The 19,093-nt window shown below is 45.6% G+C and overlaps 1 protein-coding gene and 1 pseudogene across 22 annotated transcripts in view; one reads left to right on the top strand and one right to left on the bottom strand.

Annotated features, from left to right (window-relative positions):
- The window catches only part of ASAP2 (ArfGAP with SH3 domain, ankyrin repeat and PH domain 2), a 198,867-nt gene that overhangs the window by 125,574 nt on the left and 54,200 nt on the right, over window positions 1–19,093 (bottom strand). For 20 of the 22 annotated variants that reach the window (XM_011510403.4, XM_011510407.3, XM_011510404.3 and 17 more), the window contains one exon: window positions 716–788. In XM_011510403.4, the coding sequence (XP_011508705.1) occupies window positions 716–788 (73 nt within the window). Of the gene's footprint in view, window positions 1–715; window positions 791–19,093 lie in introns of those variants that run through there. The other 2 variants (XM_011510409.1, XM_047446229.1) reach the window with 1 other exon arrangement.
- Window positions 8,347–8,994, top strand: EIF1P7 (eukaryotic translation initiation factor 1 pseudogene 7; annotated as a pseudogene).

Below are 19,093 nucleotides of genomic sequence, written 5' to 3'. Positions count from 1 at the left end.
ACCCATCAGCCCTGTTTCAGTCTCTCAGGGACTCCTCACAGTTCCTAGCCCTGCAAGGATGCCACCTTTTTGTTGCTGAATGAAACTATATAGTCACTTAACGACTTTTAAAAAATATTTTGTATCACTCGTAGGATTTGTACAAGGGAAGGTATGCTACAGGTGACCTACTTGTCATCTTTAAGCCAAAAGTTGCATGGGTTTAAAAAATATATATGTGTAAATATATATGTGTAAAAAATATGTATGTGTAAATCTAGATCAAATATTACTTTATGTTTGTCTATTTATTCATTTTCTTCCTATACTAGAAAAGGCAAGACTGGGTAAAAGAGAAACGGAAAGGGCACTGTGACACAATTAACAGCAAAAACCAAATGACAGAGGCAGGAATGAATCCAGGCCCCCATCAGCCAGGCTGACAAAGTGGGTACGTGCAGGACGATGCTCCAGAAAACAGGAAGTGCAACGTGGGACAGACAGCACGGAGGATGACAGGGGATGACAGGGGACGAAATCCCACACCTGAATCAGACGACTGGCAAAACAAAACATACTTCTGAAAAAGAAACATCCCAGCTCACCTCTGTGATCTGCATGCCCCGATAAAGGAGTCTAGCTGGCTCATTTGTTAATGGTCATCAATATTACGGTACCAGGACTTCAAATGCGACATTTTCCACACAGAAACCTCTAGGGAAGGATGTATACTCACCCAGCCCAGAGCTGTTGATTGCTTTCACGGATTTCTTCATTTTGTAAAGAACCATCCGGTCCACGTCCAAAGCCTAAAATGTAGAGAATACAGTCATTAAACCGTGTCTGTGCTGAGACCACGCTAGCAGCGAGCACCACGTTGAGTGCCACTCTGATTGCCTCTGCCAGGTCCCTAGGCACCTGTTTCTGGGAGACAAGCCTCCTCTGCCAGGTCCCTCGGCACCTGTTTCTGGGAGACAAGCCCTCAGTGTGGTGTGGAAGACTGGTTTCCAAATGGCACTAAGCAGAAGTTTGTTGGCAATTACTGAAAACCAACTCCTCCTCCTGCAGCATGCAAGCTGTCTCCTGCCCACAGCACCTGCTGGACGTGAGCCCTCTGCAGCGAAGTGAATTACTCCAGCCGAACCCTCCGTTCTCCTTGGTTACCAGCAAGGCTCCAGGATGCCCCTGCCTGCCAGGGACTCCTATCGTGCCTGCACCCCTTCCCCCTATAGAGCCCTAACAAGGTGGAGGCAACCCCACTCTGGATTTGGAAAAACCCAAATATCATTAGCTTGTAAGCTGTGTTAGAAGACGGGTCCTATTGCTTCCCGAGCCTCAGATTTCTTCTCCAGAAACCAGCAGGAACAATACCCACTTTGCAGGGTTGAATAATTAGATAGAGGTACTCTCATATATAATATTCAGCAAATGTTTATAGACCAGCTACTACACGGCAGTTGTCTATGGCACTCACAATGTCCAGCACATAGGAGGCGCTCAAACAGTTATCTGTTCAACGACTAATCACACCTGGAAATTTAATTACACCTTGACTTTCACAACAGATACAAAGGTAAAAAGTCCTTTGTTCTTTTTCTTTTTTTTTTTTTTTTGAGAAGGGGTCTCGCTCTGTCACCCAGGCTAGAGTGCAGTGGCACGATCTTGGCTCACTGCAGCCTCTGCCTCCTGGGTTCAAGCAATTCTCCTGCCTCAGCCTCCCAAGTAGCTGGGATTACAGGGGTATGCCACCATGCCCAGCTAATTTTTGCATTTTTAGTAGAGACGGGGTTTCACCATGTTAGACAGGATGGTCTCAAACTCCTGACCTCAGGGGATCCACCTGCCTCAACCTCCCAACATGCTGGGTAAAAAGTCCTTTTAACCCACTTAAACAACATAGAAAAGCAAAGGGTGACTTGTGACTGGAGGGAGACAACATTTGTGAACTGGGATAGCGATGCCAATCACAGGCTATCCTATGAAAACTAAATGAAGCACCCTGCCCTACAGCTACTGGCACATAATAACTACTGCTATTGAGTGTCCATTATTACCCCATGTGAGTTTAGATCATAAAAACCTGCAACAACCTATCATCAGAAACACAGCACAGCTCCTCAGAGCAATGGATTCTGGACTTCCAGCCTTCCTGAAATCACCTTTTGAACCAGTTTTCAATAGCAGAATCGTAAGCCCTGGTTCTAATGCCACAATGATAATTTTATTGGATGCTAAAAACAGACATGATTAGTGCTGGCAATTTTAAATGGAAAAATGATCACAAGGCACCAGACATTTGACAGAGTGGCTGCAATACAAAGAGAAGTTATAATCATGTCATTATACATTTGTCCAAGCCCATGGAATGTACAAGAGTGAGCCCTAAGGTGAAGTAAAGATATAGGTGAGAGTGATGTGTCCCTGTCGGTTCACTGAGGGTCACCAGCATACCACTTGTAGTGCGGGATGTTAACAAAGGAGGAGGCTATGCATGTCAAGGGGAACGGGTATTTGGAAAGTTTCTGTATTTTCCATTCAATTTTGTTGTGAACCTAAAACTAAAAATGTTTATTTAAATAAAAAAGGCATTCTTTCCTGCCATACTAAAGAGTAGAGAGTTACCGATACAAGATAATCAAGATTTCTTATATGGAGTTAACTCGTATTTTCCCAAGTGGTTATCTCTGATCCATTCCTACCTTCCTTCAAGATACAAAAGGGGACTTGGAAACAGTAAATAACTCAGGACAATCATAATTAAATTATCTTTCTCTTGCAGTCTCATCACTTTTCCTCCCCAGTCTTCCAGCCGCAGACTCGCGGGACCTAGGCCAGGCTCAGCCAGCACCAGTGGGCAGACTGAGGTTGTGCTCAGGGCTGTGCCAGAAACACCAGTTCGCGAAGCTTAGACCACATGTCAGACAGCACAGCTCTCACACATAGAGGTGCCAGTTCACGGTGCTCCTCAGAGCTCTAAGTTCCCCATCCCAGGAGAGGGGCCATTCTTGAAAAGCACATTTGATCTGTGACCGTGCAGCCTAGCACTCTCGCAGAATCTGGGCCGGCTCCAGGCTTTGCCATTGGCTCCAGCAGGATCTGATCCACACTCATAATATTAATAAAAGCCACTCCTCTTTCTAAGCCTCCCCACAGACAGTGGAAGACACCCATGTCAGCCTGTCAGGCTCTCTGGAAGCATTAGAAGTCAGCCACCATTCTTACTAAGCACCTTCCATGGGCCAGCAAGTGTAAAGGGAGAAAACACCTCACGAATAAAGAAGAAAGAGACCATGCGCAGTGGCTCATGCCTGTAATCCCAACACTTTGAGAGGTCGAGGTGGGAGGATCACTTGAGGTCAGGAGTTCGAGGCCAGCCTAGCCAACATGGTGAAACCCTGTCTCTACTAAAAATACAAAAATTAGCCGGGCGTGTTGGTGGGTGTGCCTGTAATCCCAGCTACTCAGGAGGCTGAGGCAAAAGAATCGCTTGAACCTGGGAGGTGGAGGTTGCAGTGAGCCAAGATTGTGCCGCTACACTCCAGCCTGGGCAACAGGGTGAGACTCTGTCTCAAAAAGAAAAAAAAGAGAAAAAAAAGATGACACAGGAAGGCTTGAGGGGCAGGTCCCAGCCCAGGCACTATAAGGCTTCCTGGTGTTCTCAGAATAACATCTTTAGCAAGCTTTAAAAATCTGATCATCTGAGCTCTGCCTGCTTCTCTGGCATCAGCTCCTCATATTCTCCATCACTTTCACATGTACCCCAAGCTTCCATCATAATGAGCTACCTGTGGCTCCCCCTCCCCCTGCTGTCTTCCCAGCCCGTGCACACACTCCTCTCTCCTGAGAAGGCCTCTGATGCCTTGCCACCTCCACGATAGGGTGGCAGGTACTCATCTCAGCTTTTCCCATAATGCCCTGTGCTTAGCATTTCATTGGATAAAATGGTGTGAGCACCTTCTACCTGCAAGGTATTACTGACACAATGGTGAGGAAAACAGGACAAGGCAATGCCTGTGCCTTCTTGGAATTCACAACTCACAAAAGATAATCACCTAGAGAAACACAAATTAACGATGAAAACAGGAGCCCAGGACTTACTACGTGCACAGAACTGCTTTTTTAACTTGTCCAGCTCTGCCTCTAGGCCACAGCCATCCACTACAGCAGCTACCAGCACGTGTCTACGGAGCACCTGAAATGTGGCTAAGTGCCACGTTAAAACAATATTGTGGACATCTTAGGTTATAGAAAATATCAACAAAATTAATCGTACCGCCTCTTTTTAGTTTTTTTAATGCTTTCCTCTAAGGTCAGTCACTGATATTTGTTCATTGTATCCCCAGTGCCTACCAGAGAGCTTGCCACAGAACAGGACTCAAGAAGCAGCTCAGGAAAGGATGATGAGCCCAAAATGCAGGGGCTCAAGTGCCAGGCAACAGTGCTTCCCAGAGGGGAAACGGGAGCTGTGCTTGAAGGTTACTCAGGCCACAGGGAGGGTAATGGATCAGGGCAGGCAGGAAGTGCATTCAGGGAGAGGCTACGCAAAGAAGAGGGAACTGGCTGGAACCCATGGTTCAAAAGCCATTCAGGGCTAAAGCTGGGCAGTAGCCGTTCTGGAAAAGCCAGCCAGGGAGATCTGTGCTGTCTCTCTCAACCAGATTTCAGCCCTCCTGCCTCTGATACTCCCACAGATGACAGAGTGATCTTGTGTCTACAGGAGTTTGGGTCAACCGTGCTAAGAACACAAGGACTAGGCTGGATGCGGTAGCTCACACCTACTATAATACCAGTGCTTTGGGAGGCCAAGGTGGGAAGAATGTTTGAGACCAGGAGCTTGAGACCAGCCTGGCCAACAGTGACACCCTGTCTCTACAAAAAATAAAAATAAGTTAGCCGGGCATGGGAACATGCACCTGTAATCCCAGGCTGAGGAGGGAGGATCACTTAAATCCAGAAGTTGGAGGCTGCAGCGAACCATGATTGCGCCACTGCCCTATAGCCTGGGTGACAGACAGACCCTGTCTCTTAAAAAAAAAAAAAAAACAGACAAATGAAAAAACAAAACATGGGACTGGAAGCGGTGGTAAACTTCAATGTAAAAGGCTGCTCACAGACAACATACCTTAATAACACAATTGAACTCTGACAAATTTCCTCCCATATTATGTCATGGGACACACCCGTCCCTGATCATTTACTGCATAAAACTCTTGAAAAAATAGGTCACCATATGGAATCTTCTACCTTTGTTACCAAAGAGGAAGTAGTGCTTCCTGAACTCAGGGATGAGTGCATAAACTTGCTTTTCTACAATCTGTTAAACAGATTAGAAATAAAGGTGAGGTAGGTGGAAGAGGTAATTTTTAATTAAAATTGCAAGTGGGAAAAGCAATTACCTCCCTATTCAGAAACACACCCTTCATTATGGTGCATATTTATAGACAATTAAAATTAAACTTGGTCAGGACGAGAAGCTAGAATGATTGTTTAAGATTGAGTGTTAGGCTGGACGCGGTGGCTCATGCCTGTAATCCCAGCACTTTGGGAGGCCGAGATGGCCGGATTACTTGAAGTCAGAAGTTCCAGACCAGCCTGCACAACATGGTAAAACTCCGATTCTACTAAAAATACAAAAATTAGCTGGGCATGGTGGTGCATGCCCATAATCCCAGCTACTCAGGAGGCTGAGGCAGGAGAATCGCTTGAACCTGGGGGACAAAGGTTGCAGTGAGCGGAGATCACACCACTGTACTCCAGCTTGGGTGACAAAATGAGACTCTGTCTCAAAAAAAAAAAAAAAAAAAAAGATTGAATGCTAGAAACAGTCTTATGCCAACTATATATAAAAACAGCACTGGAAGTCCTAGCTAGAGATTAGACAAGAGAAAGAAATAAAGGGCCTCCAAATTGGAAGGATGAAGTTGAATTAGCCTTGTTTGCAGATGATGTGATCTTATATTTGGAAAAACCTAAAGATGCCATCATAAAAACTATCAGAACTGAAAAAACTACCTTTGCAAAAATTATAACTGAGATAATTATTACAGTGAAAGAGATCTGACATAACTGACTCCATCCTGTTTCTAACCTCCAAGCTGTCCTTGTTCATTCCTGGGCCTAGGCTGAACTAACTTTGGGAGGAACTTACAGTTTAGCTTTGAAACAAAGATGACAATGGCCCTTTCCCAAAATAAACCCCTCTTCCTGCCTGGGGACTAGACAGCCTTTGCAGGACTAATAAATTAGCCACAAGTTTAGAAATTATGGTTTAGGAGTCATGCAGCTGGAGGCTGCATAACATCACTATTGTAAAACATAATATCAGCACTTGAGATATTTTGCAGACCCTGTATTCACTGGATCAGCTGACACCACCCAGATCAATAAACTGGCTCATCTGGTCCTGTGGCCCCCACCCAGGAACTGACTCAACACAAAACGACAGTTTTGACTGCCTATGAGTTCATCTCCGACCCAACCAATCAGCACTCCCAACTCACTGGCCCTGACCCACCAAATTATCCTTAAAAACTCTGATCCCCGAATGCTCCAGGAGACTGATTCGAATAATAATAAAATTCCAGTTTCCTGCACAGCTGGCTCTGCGTGAATTACTCTTCCTCTACTGCAGTTCCCCTGTCTTGATAAATCAGCTTGGTCTAGGCAGCAGCGGGCAAGGTGAACCCATTGGGTGGTTACACTGATAGATAAATTCAGTAAAGTTGCAGGATACAAAATCAACATACAAAAATTAGTAGCATTTCTATATGCCAACAGTGAACAATCTGAAAAAGCAATCAAGAAAATAATCCCATTTACAATAGCTACAAATAAAATTAAATACCTAGGAATTAACCAAAGAAGTACAGGATCTCTACAGCGAAAACTATAAAACGATGATGTAAGAAATTGAAGAGGACACCAAAAAAAATGAAGATATTCCATATTTGTGGACTGGAAGAATCAATATTGTTAAAATGTCCATACTACCCAGAACGATTTACAGATTCAATGCAATCTCTATCAAAATACCAATGCTTTTCTTCACAGAAATAGAAAAAATAACCCTAAGATTTATATAGAACCACAAAAGACCCAGAATAGCCAAAGCTATTCTAAGCAAAAAGAACAAAACTGGAGGAACCACATTACCTTACTTAAATTATACTATAGAGCTATAGTAGCCAAAACAGTATGGTACTGGCATAAAAACAGACACATAGACTAATGGAATAGAGAACCCAGAAATAAATCCATACATTTACAGTGAACTCATTTTTTACAAATGTGCCAAGAACATACACTGGGGAAAGGACAATTTTTTCAATAAATTGTGCTGGGAAGACTAAATATCCATGCTCAGAAGAATAAAACTAGACCTCTATCTTTCACCATACACAAAAATCAAACCAAAATGGATTAAAGACTTAAATCTATGACCTCAAACTATGAAACTCCTATAAGAAATGGAGAAACTGCAGGACACTGGTCTGGGCAAAGAATTCTTGAGTAATGCCCCACAAGCACAGGCAACCAAAGCAAAAACAGATAAATGGGATCATATCAAGTTAAAAAGCTTCTGCACAGCAAAGGAAACAATCAACAAAGTGAAGAGACAACCCACAAAATGGGAGAAAATATTTGCAAACTATCCATCTGACAAGGAATTAATAACCAAAATATGTAAGAAGCTCAAACAACTCTATAGGAAAAAATCTAATGATCCAATTTTAAAAAGGGCAAAAGATATAAATAGACATATCTCCAAAGAAGACATACAAATGGCAAACAGGCATACAAAAAGGTGTTCAACATCATTGATCATCCGAGCAATGCAAATCAAAACTACAATGATATAATCTCACCCCAGTTAAAATGGTTTATAGGCAAAAGGCAGGCAATAACAAATGCTTGTGGGGATGTGGAGAAAAGGGAACCCCTGTACACTATTGGTGGGAATGTAAATTAGTACAACCACTATGGAGAACAGTATGGAGGTTCCTCAAAAAACTAAAAATAGAGCTATGATATGATCCAGCAATTCCACTGCTGTGTACATACCCAAAAGAAAGGAAATCAGTATACTAAAGAGGTACCTGCTCTCCCGTGTTTACTGCAGCACTGTTCACAATGGCCAAGATTTGGAAACAATCTAAGTGTCCACTAACAGAAGAATGAATAAAGAAAATGTGGTACCTATACACAATGGAGTACTATTCAGCCATAAAAAAGAATGAGATCCTGTCAGCTGCAATGATGTGGATGGAAATAGAGGTTATTATGTTAAGGGAAATAAGCCACGTACAGAAAGACAAACACTCCATGTTTTCAATTATTTGTGGGAGCTAAAAAAAAAAATTAAAACCACCCCAGTCACTGAGCCACTGCCGAGGACTCAGCAGCCTCCCCCTTGGGCCCCGTCGCTTCCCTACTTTCCGTACCCTCTGCCCGCCGTCTTCCGCAGACCATTTCCACCGAGAAAAAGAAATTGGATCGTATGTCCACTATCCAGAACCTCCACTATTTAAACTCCTTTGCTGATGCAAGTAAGGGTGATGACCTGCTTCCTGCTGGCACTGAGGATTATATCCATATAAGAATTCAACAGAGAAACGGCAGGAAGGCCCTTACTACTGTCCAAGGGATCGCTGATGATTACACCAAAAAGAAACCAGTGAAGGCGTTTAAGAAGTTTGCCTGCAATGGTACTGTAATTGAGCATCCAGAATATGGAGAAGTAATTCAGCTACAGGGTGACAGGTGCAAGAACATATATTATGCCAGTTCCTCGTAGAGCTTGGACTGGCTAAGGACGATCAGCTGAAGATTCATGGGGTTTAAATGCTTGTGGCTCACTGTAGTTTAAGTGAGGATTTCCTTGCAATGAGTAGAATTTCCCTTCTGTCCCTTGTCACAAGTTTAAAAACCTCACAGCTTGTATAATGTAACCATTTGGGGTCCGCTTTTAACTTGGACTAGTGTAACTCCTTCATGAAATAAACTGAAAAGAGCCATAAAAAAAAATGAAAACAGGGCCGGGCGCGGTGGCTCACGCCTGTAATCCCAGCACTTTGGGAGGCCGAGGCAGGTGGATCACGAGGTCACGAGATCGAGACTATCCTGGCTAACACGGTGAAACCCCGTCTCTACTAAAAATACAAAAAAATTAGCCGGGCGTAGTGGCGGGCACCTGTAGTCCCAGCTACTCGGGAGGCTGAGGCAGGAGAATGGCGTGAACCCGGGAGGCGGGGCTTGCAGTGAGCCGAGATCGCGCCACTGCACTCCAGCCTGGGCGACGGAGCGAGACTCCGTCTCAAAAAAAAAAAAAAAAAAAAAAAAATGAAAACAATTGAACTCATGGAGACTGACAGTAGAAGGATGGTTACCAGAGGCTGGGAAGGGTAGGTGGGGTGGAAGTGGGGATGGTAAATGGGTACAAAAATATAGGTGGACAGAATGAATAAGATCTAGTATTTGATAGAAACAGGGTGACAAAGGTCAACAATAATTTATTGTACATTTAAAAATAACTAAGAGAGTATAATTGAGATGTAACACAAAAGAAGGCTAAATGCTTTGAGGTGATGGAAGCCCCATTTACCCTAATGTGATTATTATGCACTGCATGCCTGTATCAAAATATCCCATGTACCCCATAAAAATATATACCACGTACCCACAATAATCAAAAATTTAAAAAAAAATACTGAAATCTTAGAGCAACAAAAAATAACAAAGCTTGAGTCTCGAGGAAGCAAAGATGTCTACCCATCAGGCTGAGAATTCTAACCAGACCCAGGCTCTCAACTACCATGCTCCCCAAACGAAAACTCCACTCCAGCTCAGAGCGGGGGAAAAGCAACTTTCACGGGAACTTATGTGTAAAAAACACAAACAAAGGCAAGAACCGAAGAGACCCCAAGACAGGAGCAGGGCCTGCACTGCAGCTGCCGCCTGGCCAGACCTCATTAATTCTCAGGGGCCAGGTGGAAGCTGACCTTCAGTTTGTCAAACAAGTTTTACAGAGTGAACTTATCACAAAAACCAGAGAGGGGGATGTGTCCCAAATATTTCTGAGGAAAACTACTGTTTCAAACCACTTTAAAAGCATCTGTTTGGAGTTCCCAAACTCTTCTATAGGTTCCTCTCAAGTTACCGAGGGGCCTCTTCCAATCTCTGCTGCTCAGCTGAGCTGGAGCCAGGACAGGGGACGGGGACAGTGTGTGGGGACAGTGGGGACGGTGCACACTGTGGGTAAGGGAAGTCCACCACAGGAGAGACCACCACAAAGCTGTTCACTCATTTTCCACACCTGTGCTGTCCAACAGGGTAGCCACAGAGGAATGTTTCTATAAAGATTCATTCAAATTTCAAATTCAGTTCCTCAGGCCTTGCCACCTTCTGCAAGAGCTACAGCCACCCAGGCAGCACAGTGGCCTCTGAATGTCCCCAACCCCATGCTTCTCTTCCTCCGTTCATGGGCCCCACTGTACCGCCTGAGGGCGGTGCCACCACCTCTGGGGTCACCCGGAGGCCCTGGCCATGGTTCCCCCGTGGGCTCAGCATCAACATCACCCCATGGCCACCCTCCTCCATGTGGGGGCTCCTCTACCTCTTCTTGGTCCCCCACAGAACCCTACAGGGCCTCCATCCTGTGTCACCACAGGCTGAATGGTGCGGGCCAAGCCCACTATCTGAGGAGATGACCTGGCTCAGGGTGGGCACACACGGCCTGCGGGACAGCTTTTATCCAACCGTGAGCTAAGGGTGTTTCCAGACGAACATTTCCAATGAATGCAAGGACAGGGTCACAGGAAAGACCAACTGAACCCAAATTAATTAAGATAAATGTTATGCGCGCCCCCTCCCCCCCGCAAAATAATTCCTCTCTTCCCCTTAGGAGACCTGCATTACCAAAAAATTGTACTCCATTATTATTTTTATATTTTGAATTTCATTAATAAAAAATTTGTAGATATTTATCACCTCTCTTATGTAAGTACCTACATACCGCCTTGAGGCCCGCCAAACCTAAAATATTTACTATCTCTGGCCCCTCACAGAAAAGGTTTGCTGAGCCCTGGCCTCAAGGATCCATGCAAAATGCCCCTCCCACAGCACCAGCGGCCCCTGCACCCCACTCCTCCCAGCCCTGACAGGGAGCCCACACTGCAGGCAGCACAGCACCGGTTTGTCCCCAGCACCCTGAGTTCTCAATGCGAACCAGCAGGGGTGGGAAGAGGCTGGCTTCCTTCTTAGAACCCGAAGATGCTGCCCTGGGGAGAGCAGAGGCCTGCAGCACTCAGGCAGCCCTAGCATGCTCCGCTCTCCCGTCCTATCTCCTCTCCCCTCGTTCCACGGACGAAAGGCCAGCCTGAGAAGAAGGGACATTTCTGAAAGACAGTAGACAAAACAAAAAACAAAACACACCCAGGTCCGTGCCCCCAGGGTGGCTTTGCCAAGAAGAGTCAGACAGACATTCAGATGGCAGCTTTGTCTCACCACGCATTCGACTCTTCAGAAAGTAACAGAGAGCATTAATGACAGTGTCAAATATTTCCAGAAGCCTTTTGGGAAGCGTAGACTTGCACTGTGACCTGTGGGCTCCGTTTAAAGCCAGAGCAATAACGAACCTCCCCCCTTGTGGGAATAAAGCCAGGCCTGAAGAATAGCAGGTGTCGCTAAGAATTAAGATCAAATAGACGTCTGAGCTAAGTCACAGCTGAGGAAAGTGTGTGCCTAAGGACAGATGAGAAGGGCGTGTTTTGGTATTATCTTAAAAAATTAAAATTACTCAGAGTAAATATACATCCACAACAGAAGACATGGACAGGCTGTCCTAACACTCCTCAAAACAGCCCCCAACTGGATAAACCGAAATGTCGATGGTAAAATGAATAAACTGATGATGGACATTCGTACAACAGAATGCTACACAGCAACGGAAGAGAACAAACTTACCCCACAACACAAGTGAACTTGACAAAAATGTTGAGCAAAAGAATACATGCAGTATAAAAAGTTCAAAAACAGGCCAAACTAAATTGTTTATGTTTAGGGATATACACCTTGTTGGCAAACTACAAACTGAGGCAAGCTGAGGGCTGCAGTCAGGGCAGGGGAAGCTTCTGAGGGCGTTACGATGGGACAGGCCTGCGGGGCGCGCTTGGAGTGCTGGCCAAAACCAGGCTTTATAATCATTCTTTTTTTTTTTTTTTTTTTTTTTTTGAGATAGAGTCTTGCTCTGTTGCTCAGGCTGGAGTACAGTGGTGCATTCTCGACTCACTACAACCTCTGCCTCCTGGGTTCAAGCGATTCTCAGGCCTCAGCCTTCTGAGTAGCTGGAACTACAGGTGTGCACTACTACGCCCAGCTAATTTCTGTATTTTTAGTAGAGACGGGGGTTTCACCATGTTAGGCAGGTTGGTCTCGAACTCCCGGCCTCAAGTGATCCACCCACCTTGACCTCCCAAAGTGCTGGGATTACAGGCATGAGAAACTGCACGTGGCCTTCATAATCATTCTTTAAATGTCATTTGTATCAATAGCAAAGACATGGAATCAACCCAGGTACCCATCAACAGTGGATTGGATAAAGAAAATGTGGTACATATACACCATGGAATATGACGCAGCCATAAAAAAGAACTAAATCATGTCCTCTGCAGCAACATGGATGCAGCTGCAGGCCCTAATCCTAAGCAAATCAACACAGGAACAAAAAAACAAACACTGCATGTTCTCACTTATAAGTGGGAGCTAAATGTTGAGTACTCATGACATAAAGAAACAAACAATAGAAACTGGGGACTACTAGAGAGCGGAGAGATGTGGAGAGAGGCTGAAAAACTAACTGTTGGGTACTATGCTCAGTACCTGGGTGATGGGATCAATCATGCCCCAAAACTCAGCATCATGCAATATATCCCACGTAGCAAACCTACACATGTACCCCCCGATCTAAAATAAAAGTTGAATTTTTTAAAAAAATCTCATTGAAAAAATTTTTAATGCTATGTGTGTGTATATATAAGATATATTATTAAGAATACAAGTAAAATTAAAGCATCTTTTAAAGAAAAGAAATTAGAGTTGGCGAAAGAACCAGAAAATGTTGCCAAAATGAAAGTGAACTTCAGGAGTAATTTATTAGCCTAGCATGTTGGTTGACCACAGGAAGCAAAAGGGACTTAGGAATCCCTTAGTACCATTTCTAAACCATCAGAGAGAAGCTAGAGACAGAGGAAACTGAATGCAGGTCGGCCAGCTCAGGCCTCGGGCTTTTCTCCCCAGCATCAGGCGCTTCCCACTAACTCTGGGAGGTGGTTTTGGGCAATCTTACTAAACTACTTACTTAATCCATCTTACAAATAACTGTTTTTCTGAGCTCCTAAAGTAGCAACTTTGACGGCAGCAAACATAAGAGAAACACTTCTTTCATTTTTCTCCTAGATGGCTTCCTTTCTGAGATTCCATTCCCATCTTGACTAGAACGGGGTGGTGGCAGAGTTCACACCTCTGCAGAGGAAGGCTAGCCTGGGTAACAAGGTGCACCCAGACCTGCAGGCCCCCCAGCAGTGAGGGAAGCTGGCCTGTGTACATGCAGACGCCCACCACCCGCACAGGAACAGCACTGAGGACAAAACACAAGTAAGGCAGCTCTGCAGAAGATGAAAAGGCAACTGGCACAGTGGCTCATGCTTGTAACCCCAACACTTTGGAAGGCTGAGGTGGGCAGACCACTTGAGCCTAAGCATTTCAGACAGGCCTAGGCAACACAGTGAGACCCCATCTCTACAAAAAGTAAAAAAATTAGCCGGGTGTGGTGGTAGGTGCCTGTGGTCCCAGTTACTGGTGAGGCTGAAGCAGGAGGATCACTTGAGTCTGGGAAGTCGAGGCTGCAGTGGGCTATGACTGTGCCACTGAACTCTAGCCTGGGCAACAGAGTGAGATCCTGTGTCCAAAAAAAAAAAAAAAAGATAAAAAGGCAATCGTTTTTATAAAAATTCCAATTTCAGAAATAGAAAATTACAAGCTTATGGGCTGGGTGTGGTGGCTCACACCTGTAATCCCAACACTTTGGGAGGCCAAGGCAGGGGGTGGGGGGGTGGATCACTTGAGGTCAGGAGTTCAAGACCAGCCTGGCTAACATGGTGAAACCCCGCTTCTACTAAAAATACAAAAAATTAGCTGGGCATGGTGGCACGCGCCTGTAATCCCAGCTACTCGGGAGGCTGAGGCAGGAGAATCACTTGAACCGGGGAGGTGGAGGTTGCAGTGAGTCAAGATCGTGCCATTGCACTCCAGCTTTGGCAACAAGAGTGAAACTCCGTCTCAAAAAAATAAATACATAAATGAAAATCACAAGCTTGTTTATTAAATCCATTACACGCACAGACACACACACACACACAAATTGTAAAAGCAAAGAAAAAAATACTTATAAAAGAGGATAGACAAGTGATATATCAAACACTTAAAACTCTGTATATAAAGATACAGAAAGAAAATAATCATTGTTGTCTTAGGAAAAGTTGGAGGAATTTTTTGTTTTCCCACTTTTAAACTATCATTAACATGAATACATTATTTGATAATTTTTTCGAATTAAAGAAAATGAAAAGTACTATCCTATACTTTGTTACCCTTTTCTCTTCTCCTCCCATCAAGCAGGGTATTGAGGTCTTTAACTCTGAGCACAAAAATGTGTCAAAGGGACAGATTAAACAATAAAACAAAAATACTCAAAACTGTAGTCCCTCGGTCTCCATGGGGGATTAATTCCGGGATTCCGTTGAATTCCAAAATCCAAGGATGCTCAATTCGTAATGTAGAATGTTGTCATATTTGCATGTAACCTACACACATCCTCCCACATGCTTTAAATCATCTCTAGATTACTTATATCTAATGCAATGTAAATGCTATGTAAACAGTTGTTACACTGTATTTTTAAAAATTTGTATTTTTCATTATTTATTTATTTTTTTGAGATAGGATCTCACTTTGTCCCCCAGGCTGAAGTGCAGTGGTGTGATCACGGCTCACTGCAGCCTCCACCTCCCGGGCTCAAGTGATCCTCTTGCCTCAGCGTCCTGAGTAGCTGGGAGCACAGGCACATGCCACCACACCCGGCTAATTTTCAAATTTTTTGCAGAGACGTCTCCCTATGTTGCCCAGGCTGGTCTCAAACTCCTGGGCTCAAGTGATTCCCCTGTCTCAGCCTCCCAAAGTGCTAGGATTAGAGGCATAAGGCATTGTGTCTGGCCAAAATTTGTATTTTTTAAATTGCTGTATTAGTTTTTATTGGATATTTTTTCTTGAATATTTTCCCCTTGAGACCCTATGTGACTGAACACGAGGATGCAAAACCCACAAGTGCAGAGGGCCAATGGTACACAGGGAGAAAAAAACTCTGGAAGAGGCAAAGGACTTAGTTATAGCGCGCACCTAGATGAGGAGAGAAGACGGTGACAGGAGACTGAGTTTTCGCTATCACCTGAAAACTTTACCACAAGGATATATTCACGTATGACTTGCATGGGAAAGATTAATAAATGATGAGCGAGAAGACAGCTCTGGGTGTACAGAGGAACAGCACATGAATACAGCCTGCTGGGCTGAATCACTGTCTCCAACACCCTGTGCATCAGCCACAGTGGCCGTCAGAGCTGGGGACTCATAATGAGAACAGCAGAGGCCCGGACACACTGGAAATGCCATCCAAGGAAGGAAGGTTCCTGATGGGGAAGGGGACAGTGGTGACGCCAGCACGGGCCCCCCCAGTCTCTGGAAGACATGCCTGCAGAAGCAAAACCTTTTCCCAAGGCCAAATACTAAAATATACCTCCCTCCTTCCCCACAAGTTGTTTCTGCAAAGAAGTTCCAGCAGTACTTGTGTTTATTATTATTATTATTATTATTATTATTTTTTTGAGACAGGGTCTCACTCACTGCCCAGGGTGGAGTGCAGTGGTGTGATCTTGGCTCACTGCAACCTCTCTTTCCAAGGCTCAAGTGATCCTCCCACCTCAGCCTTCTGAGTAGCTGGGACTACAGGTGCATACCACCATACCTGGTTAATTTTTGTATTTTTAGTAAAGATGAGGTTTCCTTAGGTTGGCCAGGCTGGTATTGAACTCCTGACCTCAACTGATCCGCCCGCCTTGGCCTCCTAAAGTGCTGGGATTACAGGTGTGAGACACGGCACCTGGCCTTCTAGCAGTACTTTTAAAAGGGAAAAAAATGGAGAAAAAAATACTTAACCTATTATAGAAGAACCAGGCAAACTGTGCCCTCAGCTGATGACCTCCAGACGGCCGTCAACTGTGCCTGAAGTGGACGGTGTCATGCGGTATGAACAGATAAGTGAGAAAAGAACCCATGTAGCTCTAAACCCACACACACTATGAAAAAACGACGCATGAACAACGAGAGGCTGCAGCCTCCTGCAGTTTAAGGAAGCAGCGCCCACAGGCACTCCCGGGAGGTCTGTGCCTCGGAGGCTTCGGTGGGAGCGCCCCATGGCTTTCATGGGCTTCGCCAGGATCCCTATCTTAGAGAAACGGAAACAGATGACAGTAAACTCCAATTCTGTCAAAAGGCTTCACATCCTGACTTTTATTTAGGGGGAAGAAAAGTCCTAGAGACTTTTCTGGGAGCTCTGGGGGAGTGAGAAAGGAAAAGCCACATTTTGGCAAGATCACCACTGCACAGCAGCAGCACAAACACGGCAGCGTGGGGCAGCTCTGGGCAGGACCCCCCCAGCCAGCCTGGTGCCCTGCTTTGGGGAGAGCCACAGTGGCACAAGGGGGCCTGGCCTGGGGTTCCCTGACACCCACATTACTGAGCTGTGGCCCCTGGGAATGGCAGGAGAGCAGACTCGAGGTAGAAAATGGACTAGCTCAGGAAAAGAATCACAAACAAGAGGGGACATGACACCAGAAGGTGCTGGGCACATTACTGACAGGCAGCAGGGACACCGAGACAGTGGAAAGCCAGCATGCAGCCACGGCCTGGGCCAGGCCCTCCAGCCGTGGCGATGCAGAAGGCAGCCGAGCTCAGAGTCTGGGAAGGTGACCTTCAGCTGGGCGTGAGGTCAGCCTTCCACATCTTCCCAGTCCCAGAAGACAATGGAATCCTAAGCCAGGCTGATTTCCCCAGGAAACGAGGCTCAAGCCACATGAACTTCACTTTAGTCAAATAAACAGGGGAGAGGAGATGTAAGATAGCCGAGTTTTCTTTCTGAACCCCGCGTGAAAGAGACTGAGGACTTTGATTCCTGAGGCCATGGAGGTCAGCCTGGAGACGCCATCATCACACCGTGTGCTGGGGCTTCTGTCCCAGTCGGCATGCCAGGCTCTGCCATCCAACTGGGCTGCCACTGCTGTCCACTAGCGGTCACATTTGTGTGCTGTGTTCCTTTAAAAAGTACACCTTGTGACTGTGAACAGAGGCTTTAAGGAATGGATGCATTAAAAATGAGAAAACCCAGTGCTGGATCCCTTTGGAGACAAGTGCATCAGTTACAAATCACTGGTTCTGGATTCTGGAATGAGACTGACTTGGTTCTAAACCAGGCTCCAATTACTAGCCGCGTGACCTCAAAAACGGACTCCACCTCACTGACTTCTGTTTCTTCATCTATAAATTGGGAATAACAATACCTGCCTCACAGGAGATCACCAATGCTTATGTGTCTGCCATACAGTCAGCACTCAATATCTAATAGTGATTACCAGTGTCCTCCAGTTCTCGGAGAGGCTAGGTGTAAACTACGCCAATTAAAGTGGCCGTTAAGAAGACGCTGTTACCCCAGGACCGTCTCAGTCATTACGACAAATACTTTTCAGGTCTGATAATGTTTAGAATGAGAAAAAAATCTCTAAGAACAAAAAGACTTTACAGCTTATACCAGCCTTTCATTTCCACTAATACATTTTTTTTTCCATCAACATTTAAATTTTTCAAAACTTCATACAGGCATGATGGCACGCGCCTATCATTCCCAGCTACTGAGGAGGCTGAGGCAGGAGGATCGCTTGAGCCCAGGAGTTTGAGTCCAGCCTGGGCAACGTAGCAACACCCTGTCTCTAAAAACATTGTTTTTCAAAACTTTTCCTGGTGTGCTCAGGTGTTTCTGACTCCCCACGGGGAGGGGCACATGGCAAATGGTGGGGTGAGGCGCTCTGGTCCAACTGGCCTCTCTCTTGAACACTGAGGGTTAAAGGAGCAGGGCATGAAACCCCAGGTCTTAAGTGCAGGGGTGAGTAGGAGTGGCCACCGGGGTGTCCACCCATCCCCTCCTCACCTACCCTGACTGAGGTAACCCCAGGTCTGCCCCTCTCCCACCTGGGACACCACCAGCGGGGCCTCTCCCCTGCATGTGGCAGTCCAGCCAGAAGGAACTCTGCCCCCTCCCTCCTACACTCGGCCACACTGTTAAAGGTTGGGGGCAGCACTGGGCAACCTCCAAAGCTCCCAAAGTGCTCCCAGGGAAAGAAAGGCCTACTGTGCCACTCAGCTCAGCTCACTAGCATTTGAGATAAATACTTTTAAGTTACCAAGGCAGCAGTAGGTGTGTACTCTAAAATCACACCTAGGGCCCAACTCCAACTACCATACAGCAATTTACACTCCACAGAGCACTTTTACTTCCATTATCTTTACTGCAATATTTACAACCACTTGTGAAATCACCACCTCTTTCCCCAGCTTAAAGGAGAAGAAACTGACTCAAAGAGTTTAAGTGACTTGTCCAAAATCATGTGTTTGGCTTTGAACCGATGAAATGCTGGGAGAGCTCCAGCCAATGGAGGGAGGACGGAAGGCAGCTTCCAGAGCTGTGCTCCCCCTCCCACTTCCCAACAGCCTCACTTCCAGAGCCAGAAGCGCTGGCTTTCTCTAACATTTGGGGAAAATAACCACCCGGCATTACCCCTGCTTTCTCTAAACCCTGTTCCACTAACCCCAGCCCAGCTACAGGCAAGGGGGCTGCTACTTCCACACCAAGAGTGCTGTCCACCCCTTCACCAAGAAAGCTGCCAGTGGCTCTCCTCCACACAAGCCAGCTCCTGCCACCCCAAGGGGCTGTCATACGGCTCCCAGCACACTA

The sequence above is a fragment of the Homo sapiens genome, chromosome 2 (genome assembly GCF_000001405.40).
Source record: "Homo sapiens chromosome 2, GRCh38.p14 Primary Assembly".
Taxonomy (NCBI): Eukaryota; Metazoa; Chordata; class Mammalia; order Primates; family Hominidae; genus Homo; species Homo sapiens.
The sequence above is the reverse complement of the archived record's forward strand: the minus strand, read 5'-3'. Positions and strand labels throughout refer to the sequence as shown.